This window comes from Homo sapiens, chromosome 17, assembly GCF_000001405.40.
Source record: "Homo sapiens chromosome 17, GRCh38.p14 Primary Assembly".
Classification (NCBI taxonomy): domain Eukaryota; kingdom Metazoa; phylum Chordata; class Mammalia; order Primates; family Hominidae; genus Homo; species Homo sapiens.
In genome coordinates this window covers 4,668,277-4,691,257 of record NC_000017.11, presented here as the reverse complement: position 1 = coordinate 4,691,257, position 22,981 = coordinate 4,668,277, and the positions used below count along the sequence as shown (strand labels likewise).

Sequence of the window (22,981 nt, the reverse complement as noted above, 5' to 3'; positions counted from 1 at the left end):
TGTGGAGAGTTACATTCCTTTTGTGAGCTCACTTGATTTGAACCCTACCTTTTCCAGCTCCCAGATGTCCTATTCCACCCTGGGATTACCTCTGCTCCCTTCTTTCTTTGCTTCTTCCACCTCATTCCAAGTATTTCAGGAGTTGGAAACCACAGTGGATCTGGGGATGAAGTCTTGCTGTAGCCTAGTGAGAATAAAAGAGCAGTCACTTTCTCTGAAGTCTAGCCTCCGCCCACTTAACATGACTCTCTTCTTTCTTTGAAGGTTTGAGGGCCTGTGTCTGCTGTCCCTGCTGGTAGGGGAGAGCCCCACAGAGCTATTCCAGCAGCACTGTGTGTCTTGGCTTCGGAGCATTCAGCAGGTGTTACAGGTGAGGTTTCAGCTGCTGCCCTACTTCCTCCTCCTCCCCCATCTTATTCCCCATCTTGGATGTGGCATGTTCTTTTCAACTTGGACATGTAGTTCTGGGGACAGAATAATTGGAAACAATTCCCTGATAGCAGAGAGGATAAGCTTCAAATAGAAACTTTTTTTTTGAGATGGAGTCTCACTTTGTCACTCAGGCTGGAGGGCAGTGGCATGATCTTGGCTCACTGCATCCTCTGCCTCTTGGGTTCGAATGATTCTCCTGCCTCAGCCTCCTGAGTAGCTGGGATTACAGGCCTCTGCCACCACGCCTGGCTAATTTTTGTATTTTTAGTAGAGACGAGGTTTTAACATGTTGGCCAGGCTGGTCTCAAATGCCTGACTTCAAGTGATCCGCCTGCCTCAGCCTCCCAAAGTGCTGGGATTACAGGTGTGAGGCACTGTGCCCAGCCTATATATATATTTTTATTTCAGTAGTTTTGGGGAACAGGTGGTGTTTGGTTACATGGATAATTTCTTTAGTGGTAATTTCTGAGATGTTGGTGCACCCATCACCCGAGCAGTGTACGTTGTACTCAATATGTAGTTTTTTATCCCTCACCCATCTCCCACATTTCCGCCCGAGTCCTCAGAGTTCATTATATCATTTTTATGCCTTTGCGTCCTCATAGCTTAACTCCCAGTTGTAAGTGAGAACATACGATGTTTGGTTTTTCATTCTTGAGTTACTTCACTTAGATTAATGGTCACCAACGCCATCCAGGTTGCTGCGAATGCCATTATTTTGTTCCTTTTTATGGCTGAGTAGTATTCCATGGTATATATACACCACATTTTCTCTCTCTCTCTCTGTCTCTGTCTCTCTCTCGACAGAGTTTTGCTCTGTCGCCCAGGCTGGAGTGCAGTGGCGCGCTCTCAGCTCACTGCAACCTCTGCCTCCCGGGTTCAAGCAATTCTCTTGCCTCAGCCTCCTGAGTAGCTGGGATTACAAGCGTGCGCCACCATTCCTAGCTAATTTTTTACATTTTAGTAGAGATGGGGTTTCACCATGTTGGCTAGGCTGGTCTCAAACTCCTGACCTCGTGATCCACCTGCCTTGGCCTCCCAAAGTGCTGGGATTACAGGCATGAGCCGCCACTCCTGGCCCACACCACATTTTCTTTATCCACTTGCTGGTTGATGGGTATTTAGGCTGGTTCCACATTTTTGCAATTGTGAATTGTGCTGCTATAAAATATTGTGCGCAAGGGTCTTTCTCATATAATGGCTTCTTTTCCTCTGGTAGATGTCCAGTAGTGGGATTGCTGGATCAAATGGTAGTGATGTTTCATGTTTGTTGGCCATTTGTATATCTTCTTTTGAGAATTGCCTGTTCATGTCCTTAGCTCACTTTTTGATGTGATTATTTGTTTTTTTCTGGCTGATTTGTTTGAATTCTTTGTAAATTCTGGATGTTAGTTCTTTGTCAGATGCATAGTTTGTGAAGATTTTCTCCCGCTTTGTGGGTTGTTTACTGATTATTTGTTTTGCTGTGCAGAGGCTTTTTAGTTAAGTCCCATCTATTTATCTTTGTTTTTGTTGCTTTTGGATTCTTGGTCATGAACTCTTTGCCTAAGCCAATGTCTAGAAGGGTTTTTCTGATGTTATCTTCTAGAATTGTTATGGTTTCAGGTCTTAGATTTAAGTCCTTGATCCATCTTGAGCTGATTTTTGTGTAAGGTGAGAGTGATCCAGTTTCATTCTTCTACATGTGGCTTGCCAATTATCCCAGAACCATTTGTTGAAAAGGGTGTCCTTTCCCCACTTGTTTTTGTTTGCTTTGTTGAAGATCAGTTGGGTGTAAGTATTTGGCTTTATATCTGGGTTCTCCCTTCTGTTCCATTGGTCTATGTGCCTATTTTTATATCAGTATCATGCTGTTTTGGTAACTGTAGCCTTGTAGTATATTTTGAAGTCAGGTAATGTGATGCGCCCAGATTTGTTCTTTTTGCTTAGCCTTGCTTTGGCTTTATGGGATCTTTTTTGGTTCCATATAAATTTTTGGATTGTTTTTTCGAGTTCTGTGAAGAATGATGGTGGTATTTTGGTGGGAATTGCATTGAATTTGTAGATTGCTTTTGGCAGTATGGCCATTTTCACAATATTGATTGTACCTATCCATGAACATGGATGTGTTTCCATTTGTTTGTGTCGTCTGTGATTTCTTTCAGCAGTGTTTTGTAGTTTTTCCTTATAGAGGTCTTTCACCTCCTTGGTTAGGTGTATTCCTAAGTATTTTATTTTATTTTTTGCAGCTGTTGTAAAGGTGGTTGAGTTCTTGATTTTATTCTCAGCTTAGTTGCTGATGGTGTTTAGCAGTGCTGCTGATGTGTATACATTGATTTTGTATCCTGAAACTTTACCGGCTTCATTTATTGGATCTAGGAGCTTTCTGGATGAGTCTTTAGGGTGTTCTAGGTATATGATCATATCACTGGTGAATAACGACAGTTTGACTTCCCCTTTACCGATTTAGATGTCCTTTATTTCTTCCTTTCTTCCTTTTTTTTTTCTTTTAGATGGAGTCTCTCATTCTGTTGCCCAGGCTGTAGTGCAGTGGCACAGACTTGGCTCACTGCACCCTCCGCCTCCTGGGTTCAAGCAATTCTTCTGCCTCAGCCTCCCAGGTAGCCGGGATTACAGGTGCCTGCCACCCCGCCCGGCTAATGTTTGTATTTTTAGTAGAGATAGGGTTTCGCCATGTTGGCCAGGCTGGTCTCAAACTCCTGACCTCAGGTGATCTGACTGCCTCGGCCTCCCTAAGTGCTAAGACTACAGGTGTGAGCCACTGTGCCTGGCCTAGACGCCCTTTATTTCTTTCTCTTGTCTGATTGCTCTGGCTAGGACTTCCAGTACTATGTTGAATAGAAGTGGTGAAAGTGGGCATCCTTGTCTTGTTCCAGTTCTCAAGGGGAATGCTTTCAACTTTTCCCTGTTCAGTATAAGGTTGGTTGTGCGTTTTTCATACTTTGTTGCTCTTTTAACGTTTTAATTTTTTTCCCCTACTTTTACATCCTTTGATAACATCTCCACTTAGTTATTTAACAAGCATTTTCTGAGCACATATAGCAGGCAGTGTACCAAGCTCTGGAGAGACAGTGAGATGTACATGGACCCTGCTTTCATGGTACTCAGAGTCTAGCGCTTTTTCTATGAAGTAAATGTTTACAAATAGGAAATGTTTATGCTTTGTGAACCACATATAGTTTCTATTGTATATTGTTTATTTTCCAATCCTTTAAAATGTAAAAGCCATTCTTAGTTTGTGGGCCATGCAAAAACAGGCACCCATAGACCATCATTTACTGATTCCTGTTCTAGTTGAAGATACTTTTTTTTTTTTTTTTTTTTTTTGAGATGGAGTCTTGCTGTGTTGCCTAGGCTGGAGTGCAGTGGCGTGACTGCCTCAGCCTCCCAAGTAGCTGGGACTACAGGCTCCCGCCACCACACTTGGCTAATTTTTTGTATTTTTCGTAGAGATGGGGTTTCACCATGTTAGTCAGGATGATCTCGATCTCCTGACCTCATGATCTGCCCACCTTGGCCTCCCAGAGTGCTCGGATTACAGGTGTGAGCCACCACACCCAGCGAAGATACTTTAATTGAATAATTATATAAATGAATGTGAAGTGATAAACTGAGGTAGGTGCTGTGGAGGTAAAGACTATAGTTCTTGGAAAACATGTAACAGGAGAATCTGACTTCAGCTGGGGTGGTGTGGGTGTTTGTGATCAGGGCCAGCAGTCCAGGGAGAGCTTTTCTGAACTGATCAATAGAAGTTAATTGGGTTAAGAAAGTGTTCTAATGTGCCAAAGCCATGAGAGAAGAGGAGCATGGCCTGTTTGAAGAATTCCAGCATGTGGCTAGAATTGATGAGATGTGGCTGGGGAGATAGGAAGACTGGGGACCAAGTTGTGTATGGCCTTATAGACCATGCTAAGGGTTTTGGCTTTTATTCTTGGAGTAGTGGCAACTCATGGAAGGTTTTAAGCAGGGATGAGGAGGTGGTGGTGGTGATTGAAAGTATCTCTCTGAGGCCAGGCGTGGTGGCTCACGCCTGTAATCCCAGCAGTTTGGGAGGCCGAGGTGGGCGGATCACCTGAGGTCGGGAGTTCGAGACCAGCCTGGCCAACATGGTGAAACCCTGTTTCTACTAAAAATACAAAAATTAGCCAGGCATGGTGGCAGGCACCTGTAATCCCAGCTACTTGGGAGGCTGAGGTGGGAGAATTGCTCTAACCCGGGAGATGGAGGTTGCAGTGAGCCGAGATCGCGCCACTGCACTCCAGCCTGGGTGACAGAGCGAGACTCCATCTCAAATAAGAAAGAAAGAAAGAAAATATATCTCTGGCTGCCTGTGGATAATGGATTAGAAAGGAACAGATTGGAAGCAGAAACTCTATGTAGATGGCTGCTAAAGTAATCTAGGAGAACATTCATAGTAGCTTGGACTAGGGTTGTGGCAGTAGAACTGATGAGAACGATACAGGTTTGAGACAGATTTAGTGTCAGAGTGGCAGATGCTGAGGATAGATTAGCATCGAGTAGAACACATGTCCAGGGTGACTCCTGGATTCCTGAACACTGGAAGACAGGTTTGGAGGTGTGGGAAGAAAATACCATGGCTGTGGCCTTGAGCATTCAGTAGAAGCACCATTAGTAACTATCCCCCTGATCCGGCATCAGTGGAAGTGGCCGGGCATCTCAGTGTAGCCTTGATGGTTCAGTGGGTGGAGGCTTTAGTTGGCTTTTTTTTGAGGTGGAGTCTCGCTCTGTGGCCCAGGCTGGAGTGCAGTGGCGCGGTCTCGGCTCACTGCAACCTCCACCTCCCGGGTTCAAATGATTTTCCTGCCTCAGCCTCCTGAGTAGCTGGGATTACAGGCGCCTATCACCACACCCGGCTAATTTTTGTATTTTTAGTAGAGACGGGGTTTCACCATGTTGGCCAGGCTGGTCTTGAACTCCTGACCTCAAGTGATCCACCCACCTTGGCCTTCCAAAGTGCTGGGATTACAGGTGTGAGCTACCAAGCCCAGCCCTTTTTTTGTTCTTTTTTTTTTAAGACATGGTTTCATTTTGTCACCTGGGCTAGAATATAGTGGTGTGATCATGGCTGACTGCAGCCTTGACCTCTGGTGCTCACATCAGTACCCCCCACCGCACCCACCAATAGCTGGGACTACAGGCGTGTACCACCACCCCCCGCTAATTAAAACATTTTTTTTTGTACAGATGGGTTCTTGCTATATTGTCCAGGCTGGTCTCGAACTTCTGGGCTCAAGCAGTCCTCCCACCTTGGCCTCCCAAAGTGTTGGGATTACAGGCAGGTGCTACCGTGCCTGGCCTGGCATCTTTTACTAGGGGGAAGAGTCTTCAGTGTTTAGATGGCAGTTGAAGCTGAGGATGAGGTGATCAAAATGAGCCCTTTTACGGACTGGATTTTAAAGCACACCACACTTAATGGTCAGGTAGAGGAAGATGAACTGACTAAGGAGACTGAGACAGGCCAACAGAAAGAAGAAGATAACCGGGATTGCGGGCTGGGGGGGCCAAGCGAAGACTACTTGAGGGACGAGGGAGGAGTTATTTCCGTGTGTGCCTCCTGAGGTGGGACAAGACGCAGACTGAGAATTGTTGATCAGATTAGCGGCACGGGTGGTAAGACCATAGTGAGAGTGGTTTTGCTGGAGCAGTGGACACTGAAGCCAGACTGGCACGGGATAAGAAGCGAATGGGAGAAGGGAAATGGAAGGAGAGAAGATGGGAAATCTTTTCGAGATGCTGGGCTCTAACGATGAGGGAGAGAAATTGGGTGATTACTGGGATTTGGCAAGTGAAGTATGGGCTCAAGAAAAGACTTTTTTGGTGGCTCACCCCTGTAATCCCAGCACTTTGGGAGGCCAAGGCAGGCAGATAACGAGGTCAGGAATTCAAGACCAGTCTGGCCAACATGGTGAAACCCCATCTCTACTAAAAATACAAAAATTAACTGGGCATGGTGGCATGTGCCTGTAATCCCAGCTAGGAGGGAGGCTGAGGCAGGAGAATCGCTTGAACCAGGACCTGGGAGGCGGAGGTTGCAGTGAGCCAAGATCACACCACTGCACTCCAGCCTGGGCTACAGAAGGAAACTCCATCTCAAAATAAATAAATAAAATAAAAAAGACAAGATTTTTTTAAGATGGGAGAGACTTGAGCTGTATAAATGTCAGTGGGAAGAGTCATGTGGTGGGGACTGGTTAGAAATTCAAGGGAGATAAAGCGAGTGACAGTGTAAGGTTCTGAGAGGAAGGGAGGAAGATAGTATTGAAAGCACAGCGGAGGGACTGTCTTTGGGTAGGAAGAGGGCAGGAGAGGGTGGGTAGGATGAAGATGAAATTTCGAAGTTTGGGAGTGGGAAGCGAAGGCTGTTTTATTAGGTTGGTGCAAAAGTAATTGCTGTTTTTATAGTTACTTGTAATTATCTCTGGGCTTCAGTTTTTTCTGTGAAGTTATGGGCAAGGTTAAACAGAGGTGACAGTGGTGGGAGAAGTAGCGATTTGGAAATTGGAGGAGAAAACTTTAGTAGCAGCGTTAACCAGAGAAATGTGGTAGGATTACTGGACAGGGATGAGGGCCTGTGTCGTTGGTAGGCCTGCCTGTTTTTGCTTCATAAGTATTTTCTTTTTTTGACACATGGCCTCGTCTCGTCTAGCAGGAGATATATGCTGGATGTTTTTCCTTAGATACATATTAATTTTCTAAGGAAGTCCTTTTAAATTCAAATTGTTTTTTCTCCATGGGTTCCAGGGTGGGTTTGAGCCAGTTAGCAACAACCTCGAAGAGATGGCACAGTCTTGTTATGGTTGAGGCTTATTTTTCAGTCTGAAAAGTGCTCTTCTCCCTTTCTAGCAGGGAACATTAGTATGATATCATCGGAAAATCTTTCCAGGGCTGCGGTGAGCCAAGATTGCGCTACTGCACTCCAGCCTGGATGACAGAGTGAGACCCTGTCTCAAAAAAAAAAAAAAAAAAAAAAAAAAAGGCTGGGCACTGTGGCTCACGCCTGTAATCCTAGCACTTTGGAGTCTGAAGTGGGTGGATCACTTGACTCCCAGAGTTCAAGACCAGCCTGGCCAATGTGGCAAAACCCCATCTCTACTAAAAATACAAAAATTAGCCAAGCATGATGGTCCATGCCTGTAATCCCAGCTACTCAGGAGGCTGAGGCATGAGAATCACTTGAACCCAGGAGTCAGAGGTTGCAGTGAGCTGAGATTGCCCCAGTGCATTCCACCCTGGGGGACAGAGCAAGACTCTGTCTCAAAAAAAAAAAAAAAAAGAAAAGAAAACTCAGCTGGGCGTGATGGCTCACACCTGTAATCCCAGCACTTTGGGAGGCCAAGGCGGGCAGATCACGAGGTCGGAGATCGAGACCATCCTGGCTAACATAGTGAAACCCCGTCTCTACTAAAAATACAAAAAATTAGTCAGGCGTGGTGGCGGGCGCTTGTAGTCTCAGCTACTCGGGAGGCTGAGGCAGGAGAATGGCGTGAACCCGGGAGGCGGAGCTTGCAGTGAGCCGAGATCGCGCCACTGCACTCCAGCCTGGGTGACAGAGCAAGACTCCGTCTCAAAAAAAAAAAAAAAAAGAAAACTCTTCAGTTAATCAGGTCTTTAAGGTATAGCTTTGTTACTCTTTTTTTCCCCCACACAAATTCCTAGGACCCCAGATACCCGTAATAGTAAAATGTAAACACAGTATCCGTGTCTCCACACCCTCTTTTCTGCCAGGTAGTGGCTTGGATGGTCAGACTGACATTAACCGTGGCATTCCTCAGAAGGCTTGTATTTTCTCCTGCTGCTCTTTGGTGACAATCAAGGTGAGGCTGGAAGCACGAGACATTATTTTTTTCTTTAGACCCAGGACCCGCCTGCCACAATGGAGCTGGCCGTGGCTGTCCTGAGGGACCTCCTCCGATATGCAGCCCAGCTGCCTGCACTGTTCCGGGACATCTCCATGAACCACCTCCCTGGCCTTCTCACCTCCCTGCTGGGCCTCAGGCCAGAGGTGAGATGTCTCCCTGGACCCTTCCCCATGGCCCCCCGCAGTCCTCACCTTCACACACTGTTTAATTGTTTGATGGAAGTGACTGGGGAATAGGATTGAAGAAGTGAGAAGAGGGAGGGGCCAAGAAAAAGTGATTTCTGGAGAAGGGCCCTTGTGGGGTGCTGGGGGAGATGGAATATGGTGACATGGTGCTCGCAGCCTCTCGTTTCTCCCTTTGTTTTTCCTACAGTGTGAGCAGTCAGCATTGGAAGGAATGAAGGCTTGTATGACCTATTTCCCTCGGGCTTGTGGTTCTCTCAAAGTAAGTATTTATGCACTCTTCTCCCCACCAGTGTAAGCGTTGAGAGCTCTTACCTCAGATTCCTGTCCTGAGATTCCTAAGCACCTATCTTCTGATTATCCTTTAAAGTTACCTATCTCCACAAGTACACTTCTACCACTTTGTAGCACTTACCTCATTTAACCCTCGTTTTTCCAAAGAAGTTGGAATCAAGAACTTGCTAAGATCAGCAGGCACTGGAACCTGTATCTGTTTGATGCCTAAGCCAGACTCTGAACCATGGGCTCCTTCCTTTTTCTGCCTTGCCTTTTCTGTATCTCTTAAAATGCCCTACCCACTTTTCTACCACCTTGTCTTTTTTTTGAGACAGGGTCTTACTCTGTTGTCCAGGCTGGGGTGCAGTGGCACACACTTGGCTCACTGTAGCCTTGACCTCCTGGGCTCAAGCAATTCTCCCACCTCAGCCTCCCAAGTAGCTGGGACTAAGGCGTGTGCCACCACGCCCAGCTAATTATTAAATTTTTTGTAGGGGGGTCTCGCCATGTTACCCAGGCTGGTCTTGAACTCCTGACCTCAAGTGATCCTCCTGCCTCAGCTTCTCAAAGTGCTGGGATTATAAGTGTGAGCCACTGTGCCTGGCCCCCTATCTTACTTTATTCATTTTTTTTTTAAATTTTTAACGTTCAACCAATTCACATCATATCTTATTTTATTAATTTTGTTTGAGATGGAGTCTCACTCTGTTGCCAGGCTGGAGTGCAGTGGCGTGATCTTGGCTCACTGCAACCTCTGCCTCCCGGGTTCAAGCAATTGTCCTGCCTCAGCCTCCCGAGTAGCTGGGACTGCAGGTGCATACCACTACGCCCAGCTAATTTTTGTATTTTTAGTAGAGATGGGGTTTCATCATGTTGGCCAGGATGGTCTCGATCTCTTGACTTTGTGATCCGCCCGCCTTGACCTCCCAAAATGCTGGGATTACAGGCATTAGCTACTGCGCCTGGCCATTTTATTTTTTTTTGAGAGAGTCTCTGTCGCCCAGACTGGAGTGCAGTGGTGTGATATCGGCTCACTGCAAGCTCCACCTCCCAGGTTCCAAGTGATTCTCATGCCTTAGCCTCCGAGTAGCTGGGATTACAGATGTATGCAAGTAGCTGGGATTACTGACATATGCCACCACGCCCAGCTAATTTTTATATTTGTTGTAGAGACGAGGTATCACTATGTTGGCCAGGCTGGTCTTGAACTCCTGGCCCCACGTGATCCTCCCGCCTCGGCCTCCCAAAGTGTTGGGATTACAGGCATGAGCCACCTGTGCACCCAGCCTTTACTTTATTCTTGAAGGTCTTGTAATTTTCTCTGGGAATGCTTTCTGACATATCACTTCCCTAGGACAATTGCCCTAACACTTCTTTCTGTGTATATTCCTGTTTAAACTCCCTCTGTCGCTTCCTGACCCCTTCCTCCCAGTTGTCATGACACATACAAGGTGACTACAAAAGAGCCTTAGTAGGTCAGACAGGCAGGTCAGGGTGTATGTGGGTCAGATGATGGAGGAGGTCAGGAGAAGAATTACAGTGTTGTTTTTAGGGAGATACAATAACAAACATGAATGGTTTACAAATTCTGCCTAAGCAGTCACAGTTAAAGGGCCATTCGTAATTGGCACATTTGTTGTTTGCAGTATAATTGGATGCCAACTATACCTAAGAACAAGTAGGTATTCCCCTGTAGATTAAATGTTCTCTTATTTTGTTATATTCACCATTGGTTTGACAAACGATCGGACACCTGCTTACTCAGATGGAAACACAAATCTCTAGAGAGCTGGAATTTGTGGCAAATTAGTAATTTTTTGTTTAACTGGTGGAGTTAACTGTATTTGCCATTAGTATTGTTAGTTAAGGGGGAGTTTGCTATTCAGGTTGTCTTGAAAGTGAGATTATGAGGCTGGGCGTGGTGGCTCATGCCTGTAATCCCAGCACTTTGAGAGGCCAAGGCGGGCAGATTGCATGAGCTCAGGAGTTTGAGACCAGCCTGGGCAACACAGTGAAACCTCGCCTCTACTAAAATACAAAAAATTAGCCAGGCGTGGCGGTGTGTGCCTGTAGTCCCAGTTACTTGGGAGGCCGAGGCAGGAGAATTGCTTGGACCCAGGAGGCGGAGGTTGCCATGAGCCGAGATCGCACCACTGTACTCCAGCCTGGGTGACAGAGTGAGACTCTGTCTCCAAAAAAAGAAAGAAAATGAGATTAATGTGGTTCTGTGACCAAAGCAAGAAAGTAAGTTCTTGGAGGGAAAGGGAACTGGTCTTTAGTGGGTGCCCACTGTGCCATTCACTCTCCTGAGTGTCTAAGATGTGTTGTGTCATTTTATCATTGTAATTATTCTGTGGAATTTGTATCACTGCATTTTACAGAGGAGAAAACCAGCTGAGAGGGACTTAAGTGACGTAACCAAAGGTTATATTATCTGGTAATTGTAAAACCAGGGCAGGTAGCAGCTCTAGTCAATTGTTAGTGGCTGTGTAGCTCGCTGGCCTGGGAAGGACTGTGAGTCAGAGTTCCATCGGCCTGAGCGCTGTGATCAGGGAGTGATGCCTGCAGTGTCGTTAGTAACTGGTTACTCGCAGTATCTGAAAAGTGCCTGAGCAGATGCTAGTTCTGAGTGAGCGAGGGGTTGTGTCCTTGCTGGTTCCTTCTTTTCATGTGAATGCCTCTAATCACAGCTAATAGAATCTTTGGGTAGGCAGGGCAGGACATTTTGTCAAGAAGGTATTTGGAGTGACTCATCGATTTTATTAAAGATTAGCAGAGGTTATTTACTGAGGTTTTACTAAGTTTAGTAAAAACTGGTTATCTTGTCAAATGTTCTGTAAGTTAACCTCTCAAATGACACAGGCCAGCAGTTTGTCCCTGAACAAAGGTTTGGTTTTACTGCAAAAGTGTATTTTGATTCAGCTCTGTTAGGTATTATCTTTATCTACCTGCATCCCCCATGAAAGTGGAGGGGAAATTGAGTGTTACTTAACAGGATAGAAGTGTGAATAGTAAGAGTTAAGGAGACTAGAATGCTAAGTGTTCTTCTGCTGTTGCTTTTTTATTTTCAGTGTGAGTAGTCAGGAGAATTTATCTGTAATTCTCAACCTTTTGTCAGACAGTTGAACTTAAGGCCTGCATTTTGAGTACCCTTTCCAAACTAACAAATGTTCCTGTGTCCTTCCAGGGAGTGTCTTACCTTTATTTCCCTAAGAATCAAGTGCCATCTGCCAGGAGTTTGAGATCAGCCTGGCCAACATGGTGAAACCCTACCTCTACCAAAAATACAAAAAAATTAGCTGGGTGTGGTGGTGTGTGCCTGTGGTTCCAGCTACTTAGAACATTGAGGCAGGAGATCCCCTGAAGCTGGGAGGCAGAGGGTGCAGTGAGCTGAGATCGTGGCACTGCACTCTAGCCTGGGTAACAGAGTGAGACCCTGTCTCAAAAAAAAAAAAGGTCATCTGGAGAACTTCCCTCTGTTGAGGGTGTTGAGGGTTTTGGCTTTGTCGGTTGCCAGCACTTCAGATAAGAATCTGTCATGCAGAGGCTCCAGGGGCAATTTGCACTTGGAAAATCTCGCAGACTAGTACTTAGGAAAACTGATAACTGCCGTTTTGAAGTGTCTGTGTTTTCTGTTACATTCCCCGGATACTCTCAGGGTAATTGTAGACTCCAAGCTCAGGATTACTACTCCCAAGTAATGTGAATCAAGCATTCTGAGTCCATGAGGTCAATTCCTGCAGAGACTTGAACTCACTTCCTCGTCCTTGCCACATTGATGAGCAGTTCCTCGGAATGGGTGGGAAGACTGACCTACTCTTGAGAGAGCCCCAGGACATGCTGTGTGTGTGCGCGTTTTGAGTGAACTGTTCCAAGCGAGTCATTGCTTTGGTTTGCTTTGTGGGTCAGCCAGGGTAACCTGTGGTTAGAGCCGTGTCGCTTCACCGTACACTGCTTTATTGCAGTCACATAAGCAGACTTCTGTTGGCTTCAGTCCAGCTTTTTGAGCCGTTTTTGGAGATAGGGTCTCGCTCTGTGACCCAGGAGTGCAGTGTTAAGATTGTAGCTCACTGTAACCTTGAACTCCTGGGCTCAAGTGATCCTCCCACGTCAGTCTCCCAAGTAGCTAGGACTACAGGTGTGCACCACTAGGATGTCTCGGGGAAAGCGTGAGCCTGCTCTTTCCCCTTCTCTGTATGTTGCCAGTGTTGGCTCCAGATTCTTGTTTTTCCATATGCTTGTCTTGTTATCCTTACTAATTCTTTTTTTTTTCTGAGACAGAGTCTTGCTCTGTCACCCAGGCTAGAGTGCAGTGGCGTGATCTCGGCTCACTGCAACCTCCGCCTCCTGGGTTCAAGCAATTCTCCTGCCTCAGCCTCCCAAGTAGCTGGGATTACAGGTGCCCACCACTGTGCCCAGCTAATTTTTGTACTTTTAGTAGAGATGGGGTTTCACCATGTTGGCCAGGCTGGTCTTGAACTCCTGACCTCGTGATCTGCTCACCTCAGCCTCCCAAAGTGCTGGGATTACAGGTATGAGCCACCGTGCCTGGCCTTTTTTTTTTTCTTTTTGAGACAGGGTCTCACTCTCATCACCCAGGCTAGAGTACACTGACTGGCATGATCTCGGTTCTGGGCTTGGGTGGTCCTCCCACCTCAGCCTCCCAAGTAGCTGGGACTACAGGCATGCGCCACCACACCCGGCTAAGTTTTTGTATTTTTAGTAGAGATAGGGTTTCTCCATGTTGCCCAGACTGGTCTCAAACTCCTTGGCTCAAGTGATCCGCCTGCCTTGACCTCCCAAAGTGCCTGGATTACAGGCGTGAGCTACTGCACCCAGCCTGTGCTTTTTTATTGACATGTTAAGTAATAAGATCTAGAAGCAGGTCTTACAACGACTATAATTGCAAATTAGTGATGCATGTGAATGATATTTCAGGATGTGTTACAATTATAATGTGACATGAAAATGATTCTATTAGTGACAGTCACAGGTACTGCTGATACTACTGTGGCTATTTGTCTGCATTTATAAGTGAAGGAAACACTACATTTTACAAATAGGCTAGTGGGAGTAATTTTTTTCCCCATCCATGATCACAGGCCCCCTATGATTGTATATCCAACTAAATTGTGGTTCTCAGGTTAAACACTCCTGCCCTAGCACCTTCACACAGCAGGCAGAGAAAGTGCCGAATGACAGATTGCTACTCCGAGACTTGCTGCCTTACTTCTGCTCTAGCAGCCTTCTTTTTTGACCTTGTCCTGCCCTCATACCTCTGGTTAGTGTCTTAACTTCCAGCTTGGACCCTCGTTTTTGTGTGTGAGCTGGTAGAGAGTTGGAGTGTGGAGACTGTTTTTTAGTACTATGTCCTTTTGGCTTGAGGGAAAAATTTTGCAAAAACTGTCAAGGAGGAAGCCCAGCTGTCTCTGGGACAGGGCCAGGCCCTTTTCGCTCCCAAGCAGGAAGCCGAGGACCAGAGCTGGCGTTGAGGAGTCTTTTACCATGAAAGCATGTCCGTGCCCGGTGTTGATGCCCCATAGAGGGCTTTGCTTCTTGTGTCTACAGGAAAAAGAGACCTGGGCTTAGAGTCTGCTGCTGGGAACGGATGGGATGTACATCTCTGGCTCTCAGAGCTGGCTCACTGGCCTCTTCCTTTTTTCCTCCACATCCAGGGCAAGCTGGCCTCATTTTTTCTGTCTAGGGTGGATGCCTTGAGCCCTCAGCTCCAACAGGTAAAGGGCAGGGAGGGAGAGGGAGAGCCCGGGGATCTGAGCCTGGATTGTCTCTTGCTGCTCCTCCTCTAGCTTTTCTGTCCTGCCTTCATATGCCCATCTGTGTCCTTCGGCCTCATTGTCCCATCTCAGGTTTCCCTCAGAGCTCTCTCTGATCTCCATCTCTTTTGGGTGTCAGTGGGGCTGGGGGTTCTGTGGCTGGGCTGGATTCCCATCTGACCAGGTTTCTGTCCTTTCTCCCGCAGTTGGCCTGTGAGTGTTATTCCCGGCTGCCCTCTTTAGGGGCTGGCTTTTCCCAAGGCCTGAAGCACACCGAGAGCTGGGAGCAGGAGCTACACAGTCTGCTGGCCTCACTGCACACCCTGCTGGGGGCCCTGTACGAGGGAGCAGAGACTGGTAGGGACCAGGGCTGCTAGTTAGTGGAACAATAGTGAGGAAGCGTGGCAGGAAGGAACAGGAGGGGAGCCCAGAGACATGGGGCAGTTGGTTTTTGGGGAAAATGGGTTAGAATACAGGCAGGTCGTCCACCAGAAATGACAGAGGAGGGGATGGAAGAAAGACAGTGTACAGGGTAGTTGTGCTTCTGCCAGCTCCTGTGCAGAATGAAGGCCCTGGGGTGGAGATGCTGCTGTCCTCAGAAGATGGTGATGCCCATGTCCTTCTCCAGCTTCGGCAGAGGTTTTCGGGACTGGCCCGCTGCCTAGGGCTCATGCTCAGGTGTGTGTGGGTATTGGAGGGAGCGGAGGCGTGGAGCAGGAGGGATTGATGAGGGAGTGTCGCCTTCATCAGGAGAAAGGAGATGAAGGTGGGTGTGGGAGTTATGCCAGGGAGCCTGCTCTGAAGGTCTCCCTGCTCTGATTCTCTTTAGCTCTGAGTTTGGAGCTCCCGTGTCCGTCCCTGTGCAGGAAATCCTGGATTTCATCTGCCGGACCCTCAGCGTCAGTAGCAAGAATATTGTAAGTGGGATTTGTCATCTCTTCAGAGCCCTTGCTCAGGATACCAGGCAACCAGGAAAGTACTGGGGACCTGAGTCTCCCCAAACAGTGTCATCCTGGAGTCGTCCCAGAGAGCTTCCTACTTTTGTCCAAATAACATCACTTCCTATGTGTCGTGACACAGGAGCACAGTGTCAGAGTGTAGCAAATGCTTCCTTGGGGGAGGGTGAATTTGGGGATCAGCTGAGTCATTGCTGAGAGGCCCAGCCATCCTTCTTACCTTCCATCCAGGGTCTATTTTAGAGGATAGGGGTTTGATTTTGTTGGGAGAGCTGAGATCAGGGGTTGGGTTTCTTACCTATGTGTACATATGTAAATGGTCATTCCCTGTTTCTGTCTCTCTCTGGCTCTCACTTTCTTCCTCCACTCTTTATCTCTGCCCCTTTTTTCTCCAGAGCTTGCATGGAGATGGTCCCCTGCGGCTGCTGCTGCTGCCCTCTATCCACCTTGAGGCCTTGGACCTGCTGTCTGCACTCATCCTCGCGTGAGTGGGATTGGGCTGGCTGTGGTGAAGGGATAGGGCGTGCCAGAAACGAGGGTCACCATTCCTTCTCTGCCCCAGGTGTGGAAGCCGGCTCTTGCGCTTTGGGATCCTGATCGGCCGCCTGCTTCCCCAGGTCCTCAATTCCTGGAGCATCGGTAGAGATTCCCTCTCTCCAGGCCAGGAGAGGCCTTACAGGTGACCATCCAGGAAGGCAGGAAGGGAATAAAGAGGAGAGGGGGGTGAGGGGGTGCAGGTGGGCTGGGGCTTCTGGCATGTTGACCCCCCATTCATAACTGCCATCTTTGCTCATGACACAGCACGGTTCGGACCAAGGTGTATGCGATATTAGAGCTGTGGGTGCAGGTTTGTGGGGCCTCGGCGGGAATGCTTCAGGGAGGAGCCTCTGGAGAGGCCCTGCTCACCCACCTGCTCAGCGACATCTCCCCGCCAGCTGATGCCCTTAAGGTGAGGAGGCCTCAGCTCCGCCTTAGGACTCATCCTGTGCCCTTTGACCAAGTGTGCCTGCTCAGGAAACACTGTCTGCTGTGGCTGTCTTGCCTTGTTGTTTGCCTGTGGATGTGATTTATGTTTTCTCTGCCTCCAGCTGCGTAGCCCGCGGGGGAGCCCTGATGGGAGTTTGCAGACTGGGAAGCCTAGCGCCCCCAAGAAGCTAAAGCTGGATGTGGGGGAAGCTATGGCCCCGCCAAGCCACCGGAAAGGGGATAGCAATGCCAACAGCGACGTGTGTGCGGCTGCACTCAGAGGTGGGTGAGGCCTGTGCCCTGGACCACTGGGGCTCAAACGGGACCCCATCCTTTCCCCTAGTGGGACTCCCCTACCTACTATACCCTTAGGTGAAACTTTTGTGGGGAGAGTGCCTAGACCAGCCTTCGTCCACTGCGATAAGTGATCCCCCAAACAGCAGGTGAAGGGGAAGGTGCCTGTGAAATGCAGAGCCAGGCGGAAGCCCGCAGAGAGGCCAGGAGGAGGCACCCAAGCAGCCGCCCTGTTGCCAGGGCTGCAGGCGGCCTCGGGTCCTGCGGTTAGACCGGGAGCTCTGGTAGCCGACACAGCCCCTCCAAGGCCTTCGCTTCCTCCGGCGTTCAGCACGTCCTTGGTGTATCCACTTTCTATCAGGCAGAGTTCCAGCATGCGGGGAAGGCTCCTCCCTGTGAAGCTGACATTCTTCCAAGGGCAGGCTGCCTGGGGGAGCTCCCTGCTCTCACCGTAACCACTGACCTGTCCACAGGTTGCTAGTCGGATACTGTGCAGTTAATGGATGCCTTTCCTCTGGGTCCCATATATTTCACTGCCTGCCACCCCATCCCATGGGAAGGGGAGAACCGATTGTTCCCAAATATATAAATGCAAAATTATAAAATTTATAATTTTTTACTTACATTGTCTCAATTAAATACCGTCAGTGGCCCTATACAGTAGAGGTACTTTTATGATCCCCATTTTCTAGTTGAGAAGTTAAATGACTTGGCCAAGATAGGCAGTGGCAGAGTTGATGCCCATTTTGGGCTGTATGCTTCAGAAGCCCTTGCCGTCAGTCTGTTGGGAGCCTACCCTTTACACACCATTCTTCTTCCCCAGGCCTCAGCCGGACCATCCTCATGTGTGGGCCTCTCATCAAGGAGGAGACTCACAGGGTTAGTGGAGCCTCGTCTCCGTGGAGATAGGGGAAGGGGCCCCTGCTCTGTACACATTGGGGGGTGTGGCCCAGAGGTGGGTCCATTCCGACCTGGGAGTAGGCTCTGGAGAAGGGTTGGGTGGTCTTGGGGATGTTTCCAGGTGTGCTCTGTCCTTTTCAGAGACTGCATGACCTGGTCCTCCCCCTGGTCATGGGTGTACAGCAGGGTGAGGTCCTAGGCAGCTCCCCGTACACGAGCTCCCGCTGCCGCCGTGAACTCTACTGCCTGCTGCTGGCGCTGCTGCTGGCCCCGTCTCCTCGCTGCCCACCTCCTCTTGCCTGTGCCCTGCAAGCCTTCTCCCTCGGCCAGCGAGAAGATAGCCTTGAGGTAACTGTGATGGGCCAAGCCCCTCTTTGGTTCCTGGAGTCTCTTGTTTCCAAGAGACTCCCAGTATTTCTGGTGCTCACACTTGCCCTTTCTTCTTTCCTCAGGTCTCCTCTTTCTGCTCAGAAGCACTGGTGACCTGTGCTGCTCTGACCCACCCCCGGGTTCCTCCCCTGCAGCCCATGGGCCCCACCTGCCCCACACCTGCTCCAGTTCCCCCTCCTGAGGCCCCATCGCCCTTCAGGGCCCCACCGTTCCATCCTCCGGGCCCCATGCCCTCAGTGGGCTCCATGCCCTCAGCAGGCCCCATGCCTTCAGCAGGCCCCATGCCCTCAGCAGGCCCTGTGCCCTCGGCACGCCCTGGACCTCCCACCACAGCCAACCACCTAGGCCTTTCTGTCCCAGGCCTAGTGTCTGTCCCTCCCCGGCTTCTTCCTGGCCCTGAGAACCACCGGGCAGGCTCAAATGAGGACCCCATCCTTGCCCCTAGTGGGACTCCCCCACCTACTATACCCCCAGATGAAACTTTTGGGGGGAGAGTGCCCAGACCAGCCTTTGTCCACTATGACAAGGAGGAGGCATCTGATGTGGAGATCTCCTTGGAAAGTGACTCTGATGACAGCGTGGTGATCGTGCCCGAGGGGCTTCCCCCCCTGCCACCCCCACCACCCTCAGGTGCCACACCACCCCCTATAGCCCCCACTGGGCCACCAACAGCCTCCCCTCCTGTGCCAGCGAAGGAGGAGCCTGAAGAACTTCCTGCAGCCCCAGGGCCTCTCCCGCCACCCCCACCTCCGCCGCCGCCTGTTCCTGGTCCTGTGACGCTCCCTCCACCCCAGTTGGTCCCTGAAGGGACTCCTGGTGGGGGAGGACCCCCAGCCCTGGAAGAGGATTTGACAGTTATTAATATCAACAGCAGTGATGAAGAGGAGGAGGAAGAGGAAGAAGAGGAAGAAGAAGAAGAGGAAGAAGAGGAAGAGGAGGAAGACTTTGAGGAAGAGGAAGAGGATGAAGAGGAATATTTTGAAGAGGAAGAAGAGGAGGAAGAAGAGTTTGAGGAAGAATTTGAGGAAGAAGAAGGTGAGTTAGAGGAAGAAGAAGAAGAGGAGGATGAGGAGGAGGAAGAAGAACTGGAAGAGGTGGAAGACCTGGAGTTTGGCACAGCAGGAGGGGAGGTAGAAGAAGGTGCACCTCCACCCCCAACCCTGCCTCCAGCTCTGCCTCCCCCTGAGTCTCCCCCAAAGGTGCAGCCAGAACCCGAACCTGAACCCGGGCTGCTTTTGGAAGTGGAGGAGCCAGGGACGGAGGAGGAGCGTGGGGCTGACACAGCTCCCACCCTGGCCCCTGAAGCGCTCCCCTCCCAGGGAGAGGTGGAGAGGGAAGGGGAAAGCCCTGCGGCAGGGCCCCCTCCCCAGGAGCTTGTTGAAGAAGAGCCCTCTGCTCCCCCAACCCTGTTGGAAGAGGAGACTGAGGATGGGAGTGACAAGGTGCAGCCCCCACCAGAGACACCTGCAGAAGAAGAGATGGAGACAGAGACAGAGGCCGAAGCTCTCCAGGAAAAGGTGAGAGGCCAGGCAGGGAAGGTTCCTTGGGCGAGAAGGTGGGGCTGGCGGGAGAAGGGGTGGCAGCTGCTTCTCTTAGGAGAGGTTTGCCCAGCCTGAACCATTCTTCTGTGTATGTGTGTGTGACTATTCTGAATCTTGTATCTTTGTGCCTAAAAGGAGCAGGATGACACAGCTGCCATGCTGGCCGACTTCATCGATTGTCCCCCTGATGATGAGAAGCCACCACCTCCCACAGAGCCTGACTCCTAGCCATCTTCTGCACCCCACTCTTTGTTTCCAATAAAGTTATGTCCTTAGATAGCGACTGCTGCTTCTGCCTTTTGCCACACCTGGGTCCCCAGCCAGAAGCTCAAGTGTCTGCTGGGCTTTTCAGGGTGTCCATAGTATTCCCCAGATGTCTCCATAGCTGTCCTCTTTTTGACGATCCAGAGAGGAACAACTGACATTGGTGTAATGGACTGTCCCATCACTCAGCACGATGGTGTCAGAATTGTAGGATTCTGGCTGGATGCTAAACGTGCAGAATTGTGTGTAGGGTTAAGAATGAGGAGTTATAGAGACACAGCCCTGCTTTCGTGTTTGTATTCGGGGTGGGAAATGTGTGGAGAATGCATCCTAGTGAGTGGACCTGTGTCAACACCCACATGCCCACACGCATGCGTGCTCAGCCCCTTGGTCTGAAAGGGCAGGCTGAGTGATTGCTCAGTCTATGGAAGTTTAGGAAATTAGGAAAAGGTGTGGAGCAGTTTAGTCATTGAATTCTGGGAAATTTGGACCTTACCCCAAGATGAAAGGGTGTCCGTAGTGGGTACGTTGGGAATGACCTCTGTTTTGGGGCTAGTCCTCCTAATGACAGTTCCCCTCACAGCTCCCTGGCAGGAGTTTGATAAGCTCACCCCAGGCCTTCCTGCTCACTCTTGAGGTGTGGATATTTCCCACCCAGTGTCTTTTCTTTTCTTTTTTTTTTTGAGATGGACTCCTGCTCTGTCGCCCAGGCTGGAGTGCAGTGGCATGGTCTCAGCTCACTGCAACCTCTGCCTCCCAGGTTCAAGCAATTCTCTGCCTCAGCCTCCTGAGTAGCTGGGATTACAGGCGCCTGCCACTGCCTGGCTAATTTTTGTATTTTTAGTAGAGGTGGGGTTTCACCATGTTGGCCAGGCTGGTCTTGAACTCCTGAGCTCATGGTCCACCTGCCTTGGACTCCCAAAGTGCTGGGATCACAAGCATGAGACACCGCACCTGACTGTCCCAGTGTCTTTTCTTTAAGCACTAATCCTATTCTAGGCCTTGCTGGGATGGACGTGTGAGGATGAACCGAGAGATGTGTCTGTGAGAGGGTACCAAGATTGGTGGGCTTGAACTAGGGGCCCCGTGGTTTTTTTTGCTCAGTCAGTTGAATCATGAACGTAAGTAAAGTGCCTTCGCAATGCAGAAGAGGGAGTCATTTCTCCCAACATGTATCCTGAAGAGCCCTTTGAGGAGGTGGCATTTGAGCTAATTTTTGGAAACTTCAGTAGGATTTTAAAAAGTTACCCCTCAACTTGTTTTCGAAATAAACAGAAAAGTGAGAACAGTATAATAGATAACCTTTGCCTAGATTTGCCAATTAACATTTAGTCATGTTAACTCTTATCCCTATAAACTGCGTATCTACATGTAGACATGTATCTATATTACACCCATATATCTGTCTAATCTATACATCTGTAGTTATACACATTTCTTTTTTCATGGGACCACGTGAAAGTAAGCTGTAGACACCGTGGCCCTTCCCATCCCAGATTCTTTAACATGAATTATCTTCTAAGATAAGAATGTTTTTCTGCACAATCCTGATACCATTATCAAACCTAAGAAAAATAACAGTAATCCAGTGATAATTGTGATATTAAAATTTTCCTATTAATTCCTAAACTGTCTTAATAGCTTTTTTTTTTTTTTTTCCTCCTCTGAGTTCAAGAGGAATTTCTTCTAGGTGGAGAAGGCCCTGGAAGGTTTAAGGATCACTGCAAGGACAAGGGTGTAGTGTGAAAAGTGCAATAGTGGTTTTTCAGAAAGGGAAAGAACCTGATTTCTGGAAACTAGATAGGTGAAGTTGACATTGATTTTGGGGAAGAGGCTAGAACAGAATTTTTTCTCATTTGAATGGTGTTCTGGATCGGGAAAACATCCACATGGTTCAAAACTCAAGAGGTACAAAAGGTTTGTTGAAAAGTCCTCTTTAGCCATGAGATTTTCTGCCAGAGCAGCCAGTATGATCAGTTTTTGCATATTCATCTGGAGATATTGTATGCACATACAAATATATATATAATTTTAAATGCAAATGGTAGTATATTATCACGTAACATAAATCAGAGGCTGTCTCTACTAAAAAATGCAAAAAATTAGCTGGGTGTGGTGGCAGGCACCTGTAGTCCCAGCTGCTCAGGAGGCTGAGGTGAGAGAATGGCGTGAACCCGGGAGGCGGAGCTTGCAGTGAGCCATCGCGCCACTGCACTCCAGCCTGGGCGACAGTGAGACTCCATCTCAAAAAAAAAATTAGCTGGATGTGGTGGAGTGCACCTGTAATCTCAGCTACTCGGGAGGCTGAGACAGGAGAATTGCTTGAACCCAGGAGGCGGAAATTGCAGTGAGCCGAGATCGCGCCACTGCACTCCAGCCTGGGCAACAGAGTGAGATTTCGTCTAAAAAAAAAAAATATATATATATATATATATATATATATATATATGTGTGATATATATATATATGTGTGTGTGTGTATATATATATGTGTGTGTATATATATATGTGTGTATATATATGTGTATATATATATGTGTGTATATATGTGTGTGTGTATATATATGTATGTGTGTATATGCATGTATGTATCTATATGTATGTGTGTATATATATGTATGTATGTGTATATATATAATGTATGTAACTATAGGTCCACAGGAGGTTGCAGAGATGCTAATGAGAGGGTAGGGATGACAAGCTGTCCTTCAGCCAGTTTCCTCCAGTGGTTACATCTTACATTATTACAGTAAAACCATAAATTTGATGTTGGTAGTCATTGATAGGCACTGTTTTACAAAGCTGGAGATACAGCAGTGAACAAAATGCAGAAATCTCTGCCCTGCCCTTGTGGGATCTATATTCTAGATATTTTGGGGGTGGGGGGTAGACAAATAAGTAAGATGTATATTTGATGGTGAGCACAGTGGGAAAATAAAGCAAGGAAAGGGATAGATTCGTGTGGGTGTATTGTTTTCAGTATTTTGAATTTTTAAATTTTAACTTATTTAGTTTTCAAGATGGAGTCTTGCCCCAGGCTGGAGTGCAGCGTTATAATCTCGGCTCACTGCACCTCTGCCTCCTGGGTTCAAGCACTTCTCCTGCCTCAGCCTCCTGAGTAGCTGA

At 48.4% G+C, this 22,981-nt stretch overlaps 1 protein-coding gene across 2 annotated transcripts in view, besides 8 other annotated features; it reads left to right on the top strand.

The window, feature by feature from the left end:
* The window catches only part of PELP1 (proline, glutamate and leucine rich protein 1), a 34,364-nt gene extending 12,880 nt beyond the window's left edge, over window positions 1-21,484 (top strand). The window contains exons 3-19 of one of the 2 annotated variants that reach the window (NM_001278241.2): window positions 265-370; window positions 8,147-8,228; window positions 8,306-8,455; window positions 8,685-8,756; window positions 14,446-14,505; window positions 14,751-14,901; window positions 15,096-15,222; window positions 15,374-15,461; window positions 15,896-15,984; window positions 16,063-16,179; window positions 16,302-16,449; window positions 16,589-16,748; window positions 17,584-17,639; window positions 17,802-18,008; window positions 18,113-19,144; window positions 19,376-19,567; window positions 19,727-21,484. In NM_001278241.2, the coding sequence (NP_001265170.1) occupies window positions 8,327-8,455; window positions 8,685-8,756; window positions 14,446-14,505; window positions 14,751-14,901; window positions 15,096-15,222; window positions 15,374-15,461; window positions 15,896-15,984; window positions 16,063-16,179; window positions 16,302-16,449; window positions 16,589-16,748; window positions 17,584-17,639; window positions 17,802-18,008; window positions 18,113-19,144; window positions 19,376-19,567; window positions 19,727-19,819 (2,721 nt within the window). In that variant the 5' untranslated portion in view covers window positions 265-370; window positions 8,147-8,228; window positions 8,306-8,326 and the 3' untranslated portion in view covers window positions 19,820-21,484. Of the gene's footprint in view, window positions 1-264; window positions 371-8,146; window positions 8,229-8,305; window positions 8,456-8,684; window positions 8,757-14,445; window positions 14,506-14,750; window positions 14,902-15,095; window positions 15,223-15,373; window positions 15,462-15,895; window positions 15,985-16,062; window positions 16,180-16,301; window positions 16,450-16,588; window positions 16,749-17,583; window positions 17,640-17,801; window positions 18,009-18,112; window positions 19,568-19,726 lie in introns of both variants that reach the window. The other variant, NM_014389.3, reaches the window with a different exon arrangement.
* Window positions 602-771: an enhancer, noted in NCBI's record as "experimental_47205 CRE fragment used in MPRA reporter constructs". NCBI's record gives its function as "activates a minimal promoter by MPRAs in K562 erythroleukemia cells, with activity observed for the non-introgressed 17:4593867 variant allele {active_cell/tissue: K562}" and the evidence as "EXISTENCE:reporter gene assay evidence [ECO:0000049][PMID:34662402]".
* Window positions 2,979-3,148: an enhancer, noted in NCBI's record as "experimental_47204 CRE fragment used in MPRA reporter constructs". NCBI's record gives its function as "activates a minimal promoter by MPRAs in K562 erythroleukemia cells, with activity observed for both the introgressed and non-introgressed 17:4591490 variant alleles {active_cell/tissue: K562}" and the evidence as "EXISTENCE:reporter gene assay evidence [ECO:0000049][PMID:34662402]".
* Window positions 3,973-4,142: an enhancer, noted in NCBI's record as "experimental_47201 CRE fragment used in MPRA reporter constructs". NCBI's record gives its function as "activates a minimal promoter by MPRAs in K562 erythroleukemia cells, with activity observed for both the introgressed and non-introgressed 17:4590496 variant alleles {active_cell/tissue: K562}" and the evidence as "EXISTENCE:reporter gene assay evidence [ECO:0000049][PMID:34662402]".
* Window positions 4,381-4,550: an enhancer, noted in NCBI's record as "experimental_47200 CRE fragment used in MPRA reporter constructs". NCBI's record gives its function as "activates a minimal promoter by MPRAs in K562 erythroleukemia cells, with activity observed for both the introgressed and non-introgressed 17:4590088 variant alleles {active_cell/tissue: K562}" and the evidence as "EXISTENCE:reporter gene assay evidence [ECO:0000049][PMID:34662402]".
* Window positions 4,594-4,763: an enhancer, noted in NCBI's record as "experimental_47199 CRE fragment used in MPRA reporter constructs". NCBI's record gives its function as "activates a minimal promoter by MPRAs in K562 erythroleukemia cells, with activity observed for both the introgressed and non-introgressed 17:4589875 variant alleles {active_cell/tissue: K562}" and the evidence as "EXISTENCE:reporter gene assay evidence [ECO:0000049][PMID:34662402]".
* Window positions 5,969-6,138: an enhancer, noted in NCBI's record as "experimental_47196 CRE fragment used in MPRA reporter constructs". NCBI's record gives its function as "activates a minimal promoter by MPRAs in K562 erythroleukemia cells, with activity observed for both the introgressed and non-introgressed 17:4588500 or rs72824951 variant alleles {active_cell/tissue: K562}" and the evidence as "EXISTENCE:reporter gene assay evidence [ECO:0000049][PMID:34662402]".
* Window position 6,053: a transcriptional cis regulatory region, noted in NCBI's record as "Neanderthal adaptively introgressed variant 17:4588500 (GRCh37/hg19 assembly coordinates) or rs72824951 in the experimental_47196 CRE". NCBI's record gives its function as "modulates activity of the experimental_47196 enhancer by MPRAs in K562 erythroleukemia cells {active_cell/tissue: K562}" and the evidence as "EXISTENCE:reporter gene assay evidence [ECO:0000049][PMID:34662402]".
* Window positions 21,062-21,231: an enhancer, noted in NCBI's record as "experimental_47187 CRE fragment used in MPRA reporter constructs". NCBI's record gives its function as "activates a minimal promoter by MPRAs in K562 erythroleukemia cells, with activity observed for both the introgressed and non-introgressed 17:4573407 variant alleles {active_cell/tissue: K562}" and the evidence as "EXISTENCE:reporter gene assay evidence [ECO:0000049][PMID:34662402]".
* Window positions 21,485-22,981: the final 1,497 nt, after the last annotated feature.